The sequence below is a fragment of the Homo sapiens genome, chromosome 3, assembly GCF_000001405.40.
Source record: "Homo sapiens chromosome 3, GRCh38.p14 Primary Assembly".
Taxonomy (NCBI): Eukaryota; Metazoa; Chordata; class Mammalia; order Primates; family Hominidae; genus Homo; species Homo sapiens.
The window spans coordinates 102565890-102579068 of NC_000003.12; the positions used below are offsets into that span (position 1 = coordinate 102565890).

The 13179-nt window shown below is 36.6% G+C and overlaps 1 long non-coding RNA gene across 1 annotated transcript in view; it reads right to left on the bottom strand.

Annotated features, from left to right (window-relative positions):
* Window positions 1-2143: 2143 nt before the first annotated feature.
* The window catches only part of LOC105374016 (uncharacterized), a 137553-nt gene continuing 126517 nt past the window's right edge, over window positions 2144-13179 (bottom strand). The window contains exons 11-14 of the long non-coding RNA XR_001740824.2: window positions 13030-13116; window positions 9969-10023; window positions 8054-8177; window positions 2144-2299 (exon numbers count right to left, since the gene is read on the bottom strand). This is a non-coding gene — a long non-coding RNA (uncharacterized LOC105374016). The remainder of the gene's footprint in view (window positions 2300-8053; window positions 8178-9968; window positions 10024-13029; window positions 13117-13179) is intronic.

Consider the following 13179-nt stretch of genomic DNA (forward strand, 5'->3'; position numbering starts at 1 on the left):
TCCTAGTTCAAGCCTACATTATCTCAAATTATAGCCATTTCTTCCTAAGTAGTTTCCATGCTTTTAAAAAATTCTTTAATTCTCTACATTTCCCTAGATTGATCTTTTAAAATTATAATCCTGAATTGTGGCTATGTGATGTATACATGTGTAAAACATGTGGTCTGTACATTTGAGATTCTCTTGGTTTGCTTTATGTACATTTTTAATTCAATTCCAGTGGATGCAGAGAAAACAAACATGGTTCAGTTAATTTCTTATCCCTTCTCAAATATCTTCAGTGGCTAAACAGTATGTTCTTAGTTCTCTGCAAGTTCCATATTCTGGATACCCTGGAGCCCCTCACTTCACTTGTCACTGTCAGTCACTTATTCCACACTTTACACTATTTTCACTGCTCTTCTTACTATTTTTTTTTGTGTGCACCAAGTTATTGTTTATCTTAGGGTTTTATACCTGTGCCTCAAACACCTTTTTTAAAAAAAATCCCTTCTGTCCTTTTCAAATATCACTCCATTAGAGAAGACCCTACCTGATTGCTCTATAGCAAATAACATAGCTCCTCTTTCATTATTCTTTATCTTCTCTCACTGCATTTTTTTCCTGCACAGAAATGATATTTTCAGGATATTATATATTTATGTATTATTTTGAATTTTGTCTGTTTTCTCCATTAGTGTATTCCCAAACCTACAATAATGCTTAGTACATTGCTAGTACTCAGTAAGTATTCTGAATGACATAACAAAATATGCCTATAAAATCAAAACAACTTAAAACATCATTTTGAAACCTGGGACCCTGGTGGTGTAGGCACCCAAAGGAATCTCCTGGCCATTGGAACAGAACAGAGGCCTCAGAAATAACACCACACACCTACAAACATCTGATCTTTGACAAACCTGACAAAAACAGGAAATGGGGAAAGGATTCCCTATTTAACAAATGGTGTTGGGAAAACTGGCTAGCCATAGGCAGAAAACTGAAACTGGACCCCTTCCTTACACCTTATACACAAATTAACTCAAGATGGATTACAGCCTTAAATGTTAGACCTAAAACCATAAAAACTCTAGAAGAAAACTTAGAAATACCATTCAGGACATAGGCATGGACAAAGTCTTCATGACTAAAACACCAAAAGCAATGGCAACAAAAGCCAAAATAGACAAATGGGATCTAATTAAACTAAAGAGCTTCTGCGCAGCAAAAGAAACTACCATCAGAGTGAACAAGCAACCTACAGGATGGGAGAAAATTTTTGCAATCTACTCATCTGACAAAGGGCTAATATCCAGTCTACAAGGAACTTAAACAAATTTCCTAAAAAAAACAAACAACCCCATCAAAAAGTGGGTGAAGGATATGAACAGACACTTCTCAAAAGAAGTCATTTAAGTGGCCAACAAACATATGTAAAAAAGCTCATCATCACTGGTCATGAGAGAAATGCAAATCAAAACCACAATGAGATACCATCTGAAGCCAGTTAGAATGGCGATCATTAAAAAGTCAGGAAACAACAGATGCTGGAAAGGATGTGGAGAAATAGGAATATTTTACACTACTGGTGGGAGTGTAAATTAGTTCAACCATTGTGGAAGACAGTGTGGCAATTCCTCAAGGATCTAGAACTACAAATACCATTTGATCCAGCAATCCCATTACTGGGTGTATACCTAAAAGATTATAAACCGTTCTACTATAAAGACACATGTACACGTATGTTTATTGCGGCACTATTCACAATAGCAAGGACCTGGAACCAACCCAAATGCCCATCAATGATAGCCTGGATAGAGAAAATGTGGCACATATACACCATGGAATACTATGAAGTCATAAAAAAGAATTAATCCGTGTCCTTTGCAGGGACATGGATGAAGCTGGAAACCATCATTCTCAGCAAACTAACACAGGAACCGAAAAACAAACACCATGTTATCACTCATAAGTGAGAGTTGACATGAGAACACAGGGACATAGGGAGGGGAACATCATGCACCAGGGCGTGTTGCAGGGTGGAAGACAAGGGGATGGATAGCATTAGGAGAAATACCTAATGTAGATGATGGATTGATAGGTTGATGGGTGCAGCAAACCACCATGGCACATGTATACCTATGTAACAAACCTGCACGTTCTGCATAGGTATCCCAGAACTTGAAGTACAATAATTAAAAAAAAACATTTTGACCACAATTTTGAGACTATTTTGAAGAAAACTTAGTTTAAAGTACTCTCTTCTGCTCCAATTCTCCATTTTGCTTTGTATGCAGAGCTTCAGCTTAAATGGAATCTGTTGGAGGTAATTCCATGAAGAAAAAAAAAGAAGAAAAGAAAGAAAAAAATTCATTTTTAATTCTACATAATTTTGATAGTTAAACTTTACTAAAATTTGATCAAAAATTACTTTTGCTGTCATACACAATCAGAGAGACAAACTTCTCTGTTTGTGTATGGCACATGTATGCTTTTCCTCTAAATATTTGCAGCTAAATAGAGTCCTGCCATTTAAAAGATATTTTCAAATGGAAAGAATTATGCAAGTACAACTATCCCCACACTATGTAAACAAGATGTACCCCAAAACATATAATGAGTTTTGGCCATTTTAATCTGCTTTTAGTATATTAGGGGAAGACTATTTCTAAAAAGTAACACTCTGAAATATTTTGCAAAACAAAGCAACGATTTATAATACTTATATTCTGCCTCTAAGTTTCAGTAATTTAAAAATCTTGGAGAAATCTTAATTTATTAGACTCTTTTTTATATGTAAAAAAATAATTATTCTAAGAATAATTATAATAACAATGAAATGATCACAGGGTAATTATAAAATGAAATAAAATAATTATGAGCAAACATAAAGTACAATAGTTTTTAAATACTAGAAATTATTCTTCAAGCAAAAACAAGAAATATTTGAGCGCTCGTGGTTTGACGCACAGTGACAGAACAATGGAAAAGTGTATTTCATCTCTAAAATAAGAAAACCATGTTTGAAATAAAAGATACAGAAACTTTTTCAATTAATCAGTGCCTGATAAATATAACTGGTTAATCTTGACAATAAAAGTCAAGCTTATCATCACTTTTATTTTTTTCTAAGTTTTAATTTTGGTTCAATTGATTGTCCATAAACTTAGCATCATTTTCTCAAGTTTTCCTTCTAAAATTGAGTATAAATTTACTCTTAAAAATGAATTGCTTACCTTTCCAATTTTTAAGAAATATCCTTCAAAGTGTTAATTAGGACTTGTAGACACACTAGACAACAAGATCACAAGTAGAAATACCTTATTTTTCTATGTGTCCCACCTTTCCTTGTCCTCACCAACCTATGACTACAAATAACGTTATACTTCTTTATTCAGTCAAATAATAATGGCGTAAGACCCAAGCCATGTACTTCCTTTCTAGAAATTACTCCTGCATAAAAGGTTTTCCACATGTTTCTGAGAGTTTTCTTCCAGACAGTTCTGCACCACATGACTCCAAAGCAAGAGCCTCAAATTTTTTTACTTGGGCAGTTTTCTTACCACTAGTCAGCCACCCCTGTTGCCGAAGATACTTGTGAAGCAGGAGCTTTGCTGGGCAAAGCTGTTTGCGCTAATGCTTCTACTACTTCCACCATACCTATCTCAGGTGTGGTTGCGCTCATGAACCTGTTCCAAGGTCAGTTTGTCTACTCTTAACTGCTGCACAGATGTTGGCTGCTTCTGGAAGCCAGGCCCTGCACTGCTCTGCCATGACTGCTAATGGCAACCTCACTCTATCCTGCTATTGGCAAACAGCAGAAACCCACTGCCCCTACTCTCTTCCATACTGGCCCTACATGACTGGAGAATGCCATTCCACTCCAGGAATCACTGTAGGCCTTTCCAGACTTGAAGTTTATTCTCCTCTAGCTCCAGGCCCTGGGAGAAAGACCGTCCTCCATCTCAGTTCAGGTTTGTGGCTGACAATCTACCCCAGGATTAACCACTACTTGGGATGATTGACAGTGGGAATACCCTTTCACTTCAGGGAATAATTCTGTCTTAACCCTCCAAGTTATAGACTTGAACTACGCCTCTGATAAGGCCATTAAAAATTAACCCAAGATGGGCAAATTTCCTGAAATCCAACTATTCAGTCTTTCTTATGATTACTTTGTTACTTATATTAAAACCAGACTGCTACTTGATACCTTGAAAGCTTTTAAAGTTTGAACTGAATGACCATCCAGGCTGAATACAGTTAATAAATCTTAACAATGAAGCTCATTTTGTTAAAGGCTACCAGTAACTACGTAAGTAACACTTTATAGTATACTTAACATTCTTTGTAATTTAACTACAGGCAATAACTCACATATCTGCTAATTTCTAGCTTTTTACTGATCTTCAGAACATACTGGTTATAATTTGATGACCATATCAGACATGCCTTCAGTGCAAATTATAATTTGATTTCTCTAAATAAAATATACATTATAATTATAAAATATATATTGGAACTACATGTTTAGAAATACTGAGTCTTGCTTGATACAAGGGCATGTACCTAATGTATACCCATTGTCTTATGGGGGATGGTGCTCTCTCCTGCAAGCAAATCTGTATCCAAGTGCTCTTTGTTCTTATCACTCCACTATTAAGTAATTGCCTAAGACTTGAGAAGTATCTAAATAAGAACATTACATAATAAGATCTACTGGACTTAACTCCGTTCCCAGATGTTCAAACTCATATTGACTTTTACTTTCTTACTCAGAACATCTATTATATGTGACCATTCATGTACAAATGAGGCTAAGTAATTATGCAGGGTATTAGCATATTGGTGCACAGTGATGTGAAGTGAATTCCAGATAACCCTCTGAGCTTTTATATGAAAATGGGAAGAAACTGATATCCATTTAAATACCACAAGAGATGTTCTTTTATTCTACTGAGAGGCATTTCTTCGAGTGAACTTTAGGATCATCATGTTCAGGCACAAATACAATGAAAGTTGCAAATCTCCATACTTTACAATGTCGTTTTGTATCTAAGAGTCTGTCTAGTTCATAGTAAAAACATAATTAAAATTTATATTTGGACTTAGGCAAAATGTCCTGGTATATAGTTCCAGCTCTATGCATTTATTTGCAAAAGACTTTGAGTCTTTTCATAAATAACTTGTACACACTTCAGGATCAGAGTACATTTAAATATCTGCTGACCTTTGGAGAGGGCCCAAATAAATCTAAACTACAGAGAGTGCTGTGAGATCTTTGAGAGAATGTGAAGGGATAAATAGTCTCATCAGTCCAACTGGATTTGGTAACATAGCCTGATTTGTAGGGGTCAGTGACTCTGAGGACAGTGACAGGCTGCATTTGAACTCACTTTTCCCAAGGCCTCTATGCAGTTCCTGTGTGCCCTGTAGAAGAGTGCTGAATATGAAACACCAGGATTTCCAGTGCGGCAAAATTAGGATTTATTGCCCAAAATAGGACATTTTTGAGAGGCAGTGAGGATTCCACAAAAAGCACCAAAGATTTACAGGTGGACTTTGATGGTAAAGAGTTCTGGGAGCCATAGGCAAGAGTTGACTCAGAGGCAGAGACCCAAAGGCAAGTCATGAAGGCAAAGATTTCTGAGTTGCATTCCACCATCTGCTGTGTAGAAGAAGCAGCTTGCAGCTCATGAAGTAGTCTGTGCAGAGAGTGGTGGTCAGTGACAGAGGCATGGAGCAGCAGCCTGAGGGAGTCCATGTAGTGATCCTCGGTGGGTGTGGCCATGATCCCCAATGACCATAGGAACCATCGAAGACTTAAAGCAGAGGAGAGCCACAGCATGGGTGGTGATGTGAGTAAAAGGGATAAAAGACTGACCAAATGTCCTGGTTTGCATGAGATGGTCCTGGCATAATTATCAATGGTACTTCTGTACTTCTGTACATTAGGTGCTATTAGTGACTCACTCAGATTATTTTATAGCCTGGTGTACCCATATCTCAATTGGTGTGTAGACTGCTGATGACTTACAGCTGACATCACATCAGCCCCTTTCTGTACAACACACACATACATGCAAGCGGAATTATCTCAGCTTTCAGAAAGAGGCCCTTCAGGAGTGAGTCACAGTCAATGGTATAGTTTTACCTGAAGAACACTCCCTTGATGAATTATGTCCACATGAATCCTTATTTTAGGTGGGCTCCACTTCCTGGGAAGTTGCTCTAAGGCAGCCTTTTTCACTCTCAATAGTGTCCTGATTTGGATAATAAATTTGCCCTAAGTGTCAAAGTCTAGCACAGGCAACATCAGCAGAGGCAAGCAGAGTGAAGGTGAGTCCTGGTTGAGAGAATCAGTGAGATTGCAAGACAGCAGCAGGCAGGTGGAAAGAAATGAAAAGAGATTGTGGGCAGACCATATATGACAGCCCCACGCTAGAGATTTCACAGCTATACTATACAGAAGAGAGATGAGGTGCTGTGCTAGTGTGTGAGAACTGTTGATCCAACAGGCTTCGGTTCTAACTGTTAAAGTGAACTTGATTTGTGTGATCCTAGAAAATATTCTGTTTGTACTGCTTTTAATGTAACCTAGATGTTGGCTGAAATTACTCTATCCTTGTTAGTAAGAAAATAATAGCACAGTTTTACTGACTCCCTTTGGCAATATGAAGGCCACTGGTGAGATTACCTGAGAGCTGATGCAGTGGAGTCTTGTGGGGGAGTCATACTTGATTGGAAGACCAAGAGGGGAGGGAGGGAGCGGTGATATAAGAGACTACTTTGAAGAGTTTGTTACGAAGATAATCAGTAAACAGAGCTGTAGACGGAAGGTGACCAATGTCTAAAGATGATCTTTTTAAAATATGGAAAATACTGGGGTATATTTCTATGCCAATAATAAAATTAGCTAATGCTTATATAGCTTAGCACATACTAGAATGTGTTCTAAGTGTTTTACAAGTACCAATTTATTTAATTCATAATATTCATAAGAACCTCTTATTTTACAGATAAAATTGACTCACAAAAAGTGTTAGTAATGGACTCAATGGAGCTACTAAAGGGCGAGGCCAGGATTTCAAACCCAGTTATTTCCCATGCTCTTTAGAATACAGGAATACTGGCTCACATAAACATAGAAATGGTCCTCTCCGGAGAGAGAAGTTGATTGAGACAAAAAAGAGAATACTGCAGGAGCCAAAGTACTACAGGTGTGAAAGAGGATTGGGATTAGTATGCAAGTGAAGAGATTCAAAATTTAGAAACCAGGACAATTCATTTGCTGGACTATAGATGAAGGGAGGTTGTTAGGCCTCTGTGGTGACTATACTCTGATTTTGTTTTTATTTCCTCAACGTAATAAGAGGTAGGAGTGAAGTGAAGAAGGGCAGTATTGAACATTTTAGAAGAGAGAAGAGGTGTGAAATATATGCAAAATAATTACCTCTGTGCTTCCATTTGCAAACACAGACTTTGAAGAAGATATCAACCAAACTTGGTCCATCCTAAATTTAAGAACTTGGCTCCTGATTATCATAGATCTTGGGAGACTTCATCCACCTATGCTACAAGTACTTTCTTAGTGATCCAGGAATTATCTTCTTCATGAGGCTTGAACTCCTTTACGTGGCTGACTTTCATGAAAATGGAGGATCTCTCTTTTCTAAGAACCCTATTAAGGACAGATGGGAATTCAAACAAGGTTTTAAAGTGGCCAAGGGGTAAATCGAAGTGTTTCAAGTGCCTCGTTAAAACCAAATACCACAATTGAAAAAGAATGAACCTTTAAAACCAATTGTCTGAGGCCTCACCCCAGGAAGTTTTATTTCCCTACAGATTAAGTATGTCTTTTCATTTCCTTGGAAAGAGATCTGCTTGTAAAAGTGTTTTATGTACAGTTTAAGTGCCATGCTTGTGCTGTCCCAGGAAAATGTGCATTGTCATGCAAGTGTACCCTGTATCTTCCCTTCTTGCTCCCTGTCAAGGCATGTCTCTATTACCTTGTTCATTTGTGCCTGACACATTCAAATATGAGTTTGAAATAAGTTATAAATTTGCTTACATTTGGAAAATAATGCAATCATTCCTTCTTCTTCTCATATTTTCAGTTGTAGCTAACCATCCTTGATCTAGGCTCTTCTATGCATTAGTCTGAATGCCAGGACATTCTTGATGCAATTTCTAAACTAGAAAAACGCAACCATTTTGAGAAGAAAACAAAAGGTGCCAAAGGTTTTACCTTACAGGTTTAAATAACCAACTGTATTTAACCAGTGTCAAGTTTTCTCAAAGGTATCCTAATATCCATTTGGCTCTTTCGCATCTACTGGGAATATTCAGTGAAACTAATTAATCAATGCATGCTTGTGAACCTGGTCATAAAAATAATATATCTGCACTCTCCTAACCTCTTTCTTTGTATCTACCACCAGAGTTACACCTCTTCTATGGTTGTCAGTGGCCATTAAAACCTTAACTTCTTTCTGTCTTGTCTCTTGTTTATATCCTGTCAGTAGCATTCCCCTATCTCGTATTTCGATCTTTCACCTAGCACCTGTACTTTTCAGATCAGCTTTAAGTTTTTATATCTTTATGCTGACTTACTGGAACACATAGATGATACTGGAACAATGCATTTAAAGAAAATTTTATCGTCCAACTATTAAAAATGATGATGAAGCTTTTTATCTCTTGTGGAAAAATGCCTACAATATAATGTTAAATGACAAAAACGGATTATTAAAGAGTACATAGAAATGTAATCTCATGCCTGAAATCCCAGCATTTTGGGAGGCCGAGGTGGGTAGATCACTTGAGCCCAGGAGTTCAAGACCAGCATGGGTAACATGACAAAACCCCGTCTCTACAAAACATACCAAAAAAAGAAAAGAAAAATAGCGGGGCGTGTTGGCATGCACCTGTAGTCCCAACTACTCAGGAAGCTGAGGCGGGAGGATTGCTTGAGCCTGGGATATTGAGGCTGCAGTGAGCTGTGATTGCATCACTGCAGTCCAGCCTGGGAGGCAGAGTGAGACCCTGTTTCAAAACAAAAAAGAAAAGAAAAGAAAGAAAAGAAGTATGATCCCCTTTTTTGTATCAATTTTTTTTTGTTTGTATAGAAAGTAGTTTGGCATCACATGTTATCACTCATAAGTGGGAGTTGAACAATGAGAACACATGGACACAGGGACGGGAACATCACACAACAGGGTCTGTCGGGGGGTAGAGGGGCAGGGGGAGGAAGAGCATTAGGACAAATATCTAATGCATGCTGGGCTTAAAAGCTAGATGATACGTGCAGGAAACCACCATGGCACATGTATACATATGTAACAAACCTGCACATTCTGCACAGGTATCCCAGAACTTAAAGTAAAATAATTTTAAAAAGAAAAAAAAGTAGTTTTGAAGAATTGGTACCCAAATGTGAACTGGTTATCTTTGGTTGCATGGTGATAATACAAATCTCTTAATTTTATTCATCAACAAAGGTATTTTGCTAGTTTAATATAAAGCATGGGCTAGGCGCAGTGAGCTCACGCCTGTAATCCCAACACTTTGGGAGGCCGAGGTGGTCAGATTACTTGAGGTCAAGAGTTTGAGACCAGCCTGGCCAACATGGCGAAACCCCATGTCTACAAGAAATATAAAAATTAGCCAGGCGTGGTGGTGCACACCTGTAATCCCAGCTACCCAAGAGGCTGAGGCAGAAGAATCACTTGAACCTGGGAGGCAAAGGCTGTAGTGAGCCAACATCATGCCACTGCACTCCAGCCTGAGTGACAGAGTAAGACCTCATCTCAAAAAAAAAAAAAAAAATTGGGGGAAAGCAAAGAATAGTTTTTCTTTCCATATGGCCTTTCATGTCTTAGAATTTTAAGTCACCCAGAAATTGGTGTGTGGGGTATTTTTCAGCTCTAATTATTCTATTTATTTGGTTTAGCATGATTTTATGCATAGTCACCAGAGCTACTTACTATCTTTGTAAACTTGTGCAGCTTACCCAACTTGTTTGTGCTTCAGTTTCTTTACCTATAAAATTGGATAACAATAGTACTTAGGTCATAGGGTTGATTTGAGAATTTAACAAATGTAAAAGGCTTAGAATAATGACCTAAACACAGTAATTATTTTCTTTTCATAATGTATTTAATCCTAATAACATGCTAGCCAATATGGTAGGACCTGAAACTAAAACCAAGAAGAGTGTAGAATCAATACCTTTTCAGAGTTTTGAGAAAAAAGACAGATAATTAAATATATGATTATAATGAATATGCTAATTGCCATAGTTAGGATATATAGGAGGTTATTGGAATGTTTAAGAGGGGCATGTAGTCCAGCATAAAGACACCAAGGAAGGTTCCCTCAATGAAGTGATGTCATGATAAAGGGAGAATAATTCTGGGGGAGGAGAGGTTCTAATTACATGGGCCAGAACATCAAACTAGAAGGTAGCAATATGATTTTTTTTTATCTGCAATATAACATGCTGTGAACATCTAATTCTTCTTTAAACATCCTAATTCTTTCATTGACTTCTGGTATTCTATGTGATGGAGACATTAATTGCTTCCTGTCTTCTAGCAGCTATGAAGAAATTATAATAATTTTTGATAAAGAACACTGAAAACTCATTTATGAAATCTCCTTTGGGAATGGAATGATTAATCCTTAAATAAATAACTTTATAAGGCAGAAGGAAAAAGGCAAATTTTATGAAGGAAGTGAATCTGTAAATCTTAGACTCTGGCTTTTATTGGCTACTTATTAGATTTTTATAGAAAAGGAGAATATTTATAATTTCAGATTAAAACTTTTAAATGAAGAGGTGATAGAGAAGGCACAGCTAATTTCTGTATGCACTGAGATAGCATTTAATGGTTTAATTAAGATATAGATTAAGTGATAGATATGAAACCTTACTATTCTAGGGTCTGACCAGGAATTTAAGAAGACTGTGTTTGTTTTGATTTTGAGCCGAAGACACAAACAAAGGAAACCCTAGCTGATAAAGTGTAGTGTTGCCAGATTGGTAAATTGCATGCAATATGTATGATGATCCTTTTTGTAACATCAGATTTTTTTGTGGTTCATATATACTTTTTGTGTCCTTTTTAGTTTCAGATATAGTAAAATAAAGCACACTTTAGGGACTTTCCTTTGACTGGGAATTAAGTACAGATGATTTTAGTCATAAGGATATGCTAAATTAGGTAGACTCAGACCTTCATTTTATCAATTTGTTTTTAATATGGTAAAATATACATAACATTAAATTTACCATCTTAACCATTTTGAATATACAATTCAGTGACATTAAGTATATTCCTAATGTGGTACAGCCATCATTGCCATTTATCTCCAGAACTCTTTTTCATGTTGCAAAACTGAAACTCTATATCCATTACACAATAACTGTCCATTTCCTCTCCCCACCAGCCTCTTGACTTTTAAATAGAGTGTGTTCTAAATGTTTTTTTTTTAATCTGAACTGTAATTTGTTTATAGGAGCAACACAGTCAGTGATGGTTGAATTTCCAAACTGCTCCACAAAATCCTATTTATAAACTAGCTAATAAAACTTATTAAATTGACAAAAACACACAAATTAATGGACAAGATTAGAAGCCATAATAGGTAGTAGGTTGAAACCTGGTATAAATGAAAGATATCTGTTTAAAAAAACCCACTTTATTGGGTACAAGATGATCCTTAATAAATATGGAGATGGACAGTTTCTGCTTGGCATCCGCCATACCTTTTGTTGGTTTATCTCTTACATCATGGTGCTTTTCTTTCCAACTTCTAAACACTTACTTCCCTCATACTATCCTAAGCCTACATGCCATGCCCCACACAGTCCTGTATCATTCCTTGAAAGTCCCATACTTTAAAACCACTTCCTTCTCTTTGCACATTTTGATTGGAGAGCTTCAAACATGAAGGTGAGATATTTTATATTAACATAGACTAGAAAGATATCTGAAAACATCATTTTGCAAGTTATTTTTCATATTCTTAGAACCCATGAGAATTCACAGATAGTATTACATTGCCAGGTAAAAGAAAAAGAAATGATTCCATCACACCATGCAAAATACCAAATAAAGAGCATTAAGAAGTACTAGAGATGACATTCCATACAGCTTGAACTGTTTATCAGAACTTTTTCAGATGCCAACTTTGTGGCTTACAGAGAAGCTGCTCTGTTATTAAACTTAAAAAAAAAGTTAAATTACATTTGCTACAGTTGAATCATAGATACTGAATTTTATAAATTCCCTCGAGTAAGAATCTCAATTTACTTTCTTTCTCCATCTATTACTGTTTCCATGTTTTATACTACTTGAGGAACTTAGACCTGAGGTTGGAGACGGTGAAAATTTAAACTGCAAATTTTGGAGGAGTGAGAGTGGCTGCAAACTACTAAGCCAGAAGTCATTTCTCTGGGCTTCCATAGGTAGTTTGTATGTAGAGAATCAAATGGTTCTCATTTTTCTGGTTTCCTTTAGCTTCTCATGTATACTGTCAGGAAAAAAAGACAAATTGTTTTGTAGGCCAATAGTTCCCCAAATGAAGCTTTGTCTTCTATCTTTTGTGATACCCTATTTATCACTATTTCATGCAAGAGGGTTTCAAGCTGCCTAGTATGTGGCCTTATGTAACTGTGCTTAGACAGTGTCTAACCCATGAAGTTTGGTGTGCTAGAAAACTGACAACTATTTACTTTTGTGATGTGAACTCTTGCTTTTCAGTAAAGTTTGAATCATGATAGTTTGCCCTGTGATCTCTGAGAGCACATACACTTCCTTGGAAAATGCAAGATACAGAAGGATTCCCCTTAATATTTATGATTGATTATTTGTATAATTCCCTTGGTGTTTTCTCACAGTATACTTGGTGATATTGATTGGGATAAACTCATAAGAAAAGAAAATATTTTCTCATTCAATTATTCTATTCCATCCCATTCGATTTAGTTTAATTCAATTTGCCTGTGTTGAGTTCTTCTGTAGCAGGAGAACCATTGCTTACCTCTAACCAGTACTTGCTTGAAGGTCATCTCTCATCTGAATGTTACCATTTCTTGCTGGCTAGGGCATTTCAGCAAAGGTCTTTGTTCTAGAAAGAAAAATCATGGAAGTGTTTTTATAGCATACTTTGTCTGGTAATTAAAATAACCAA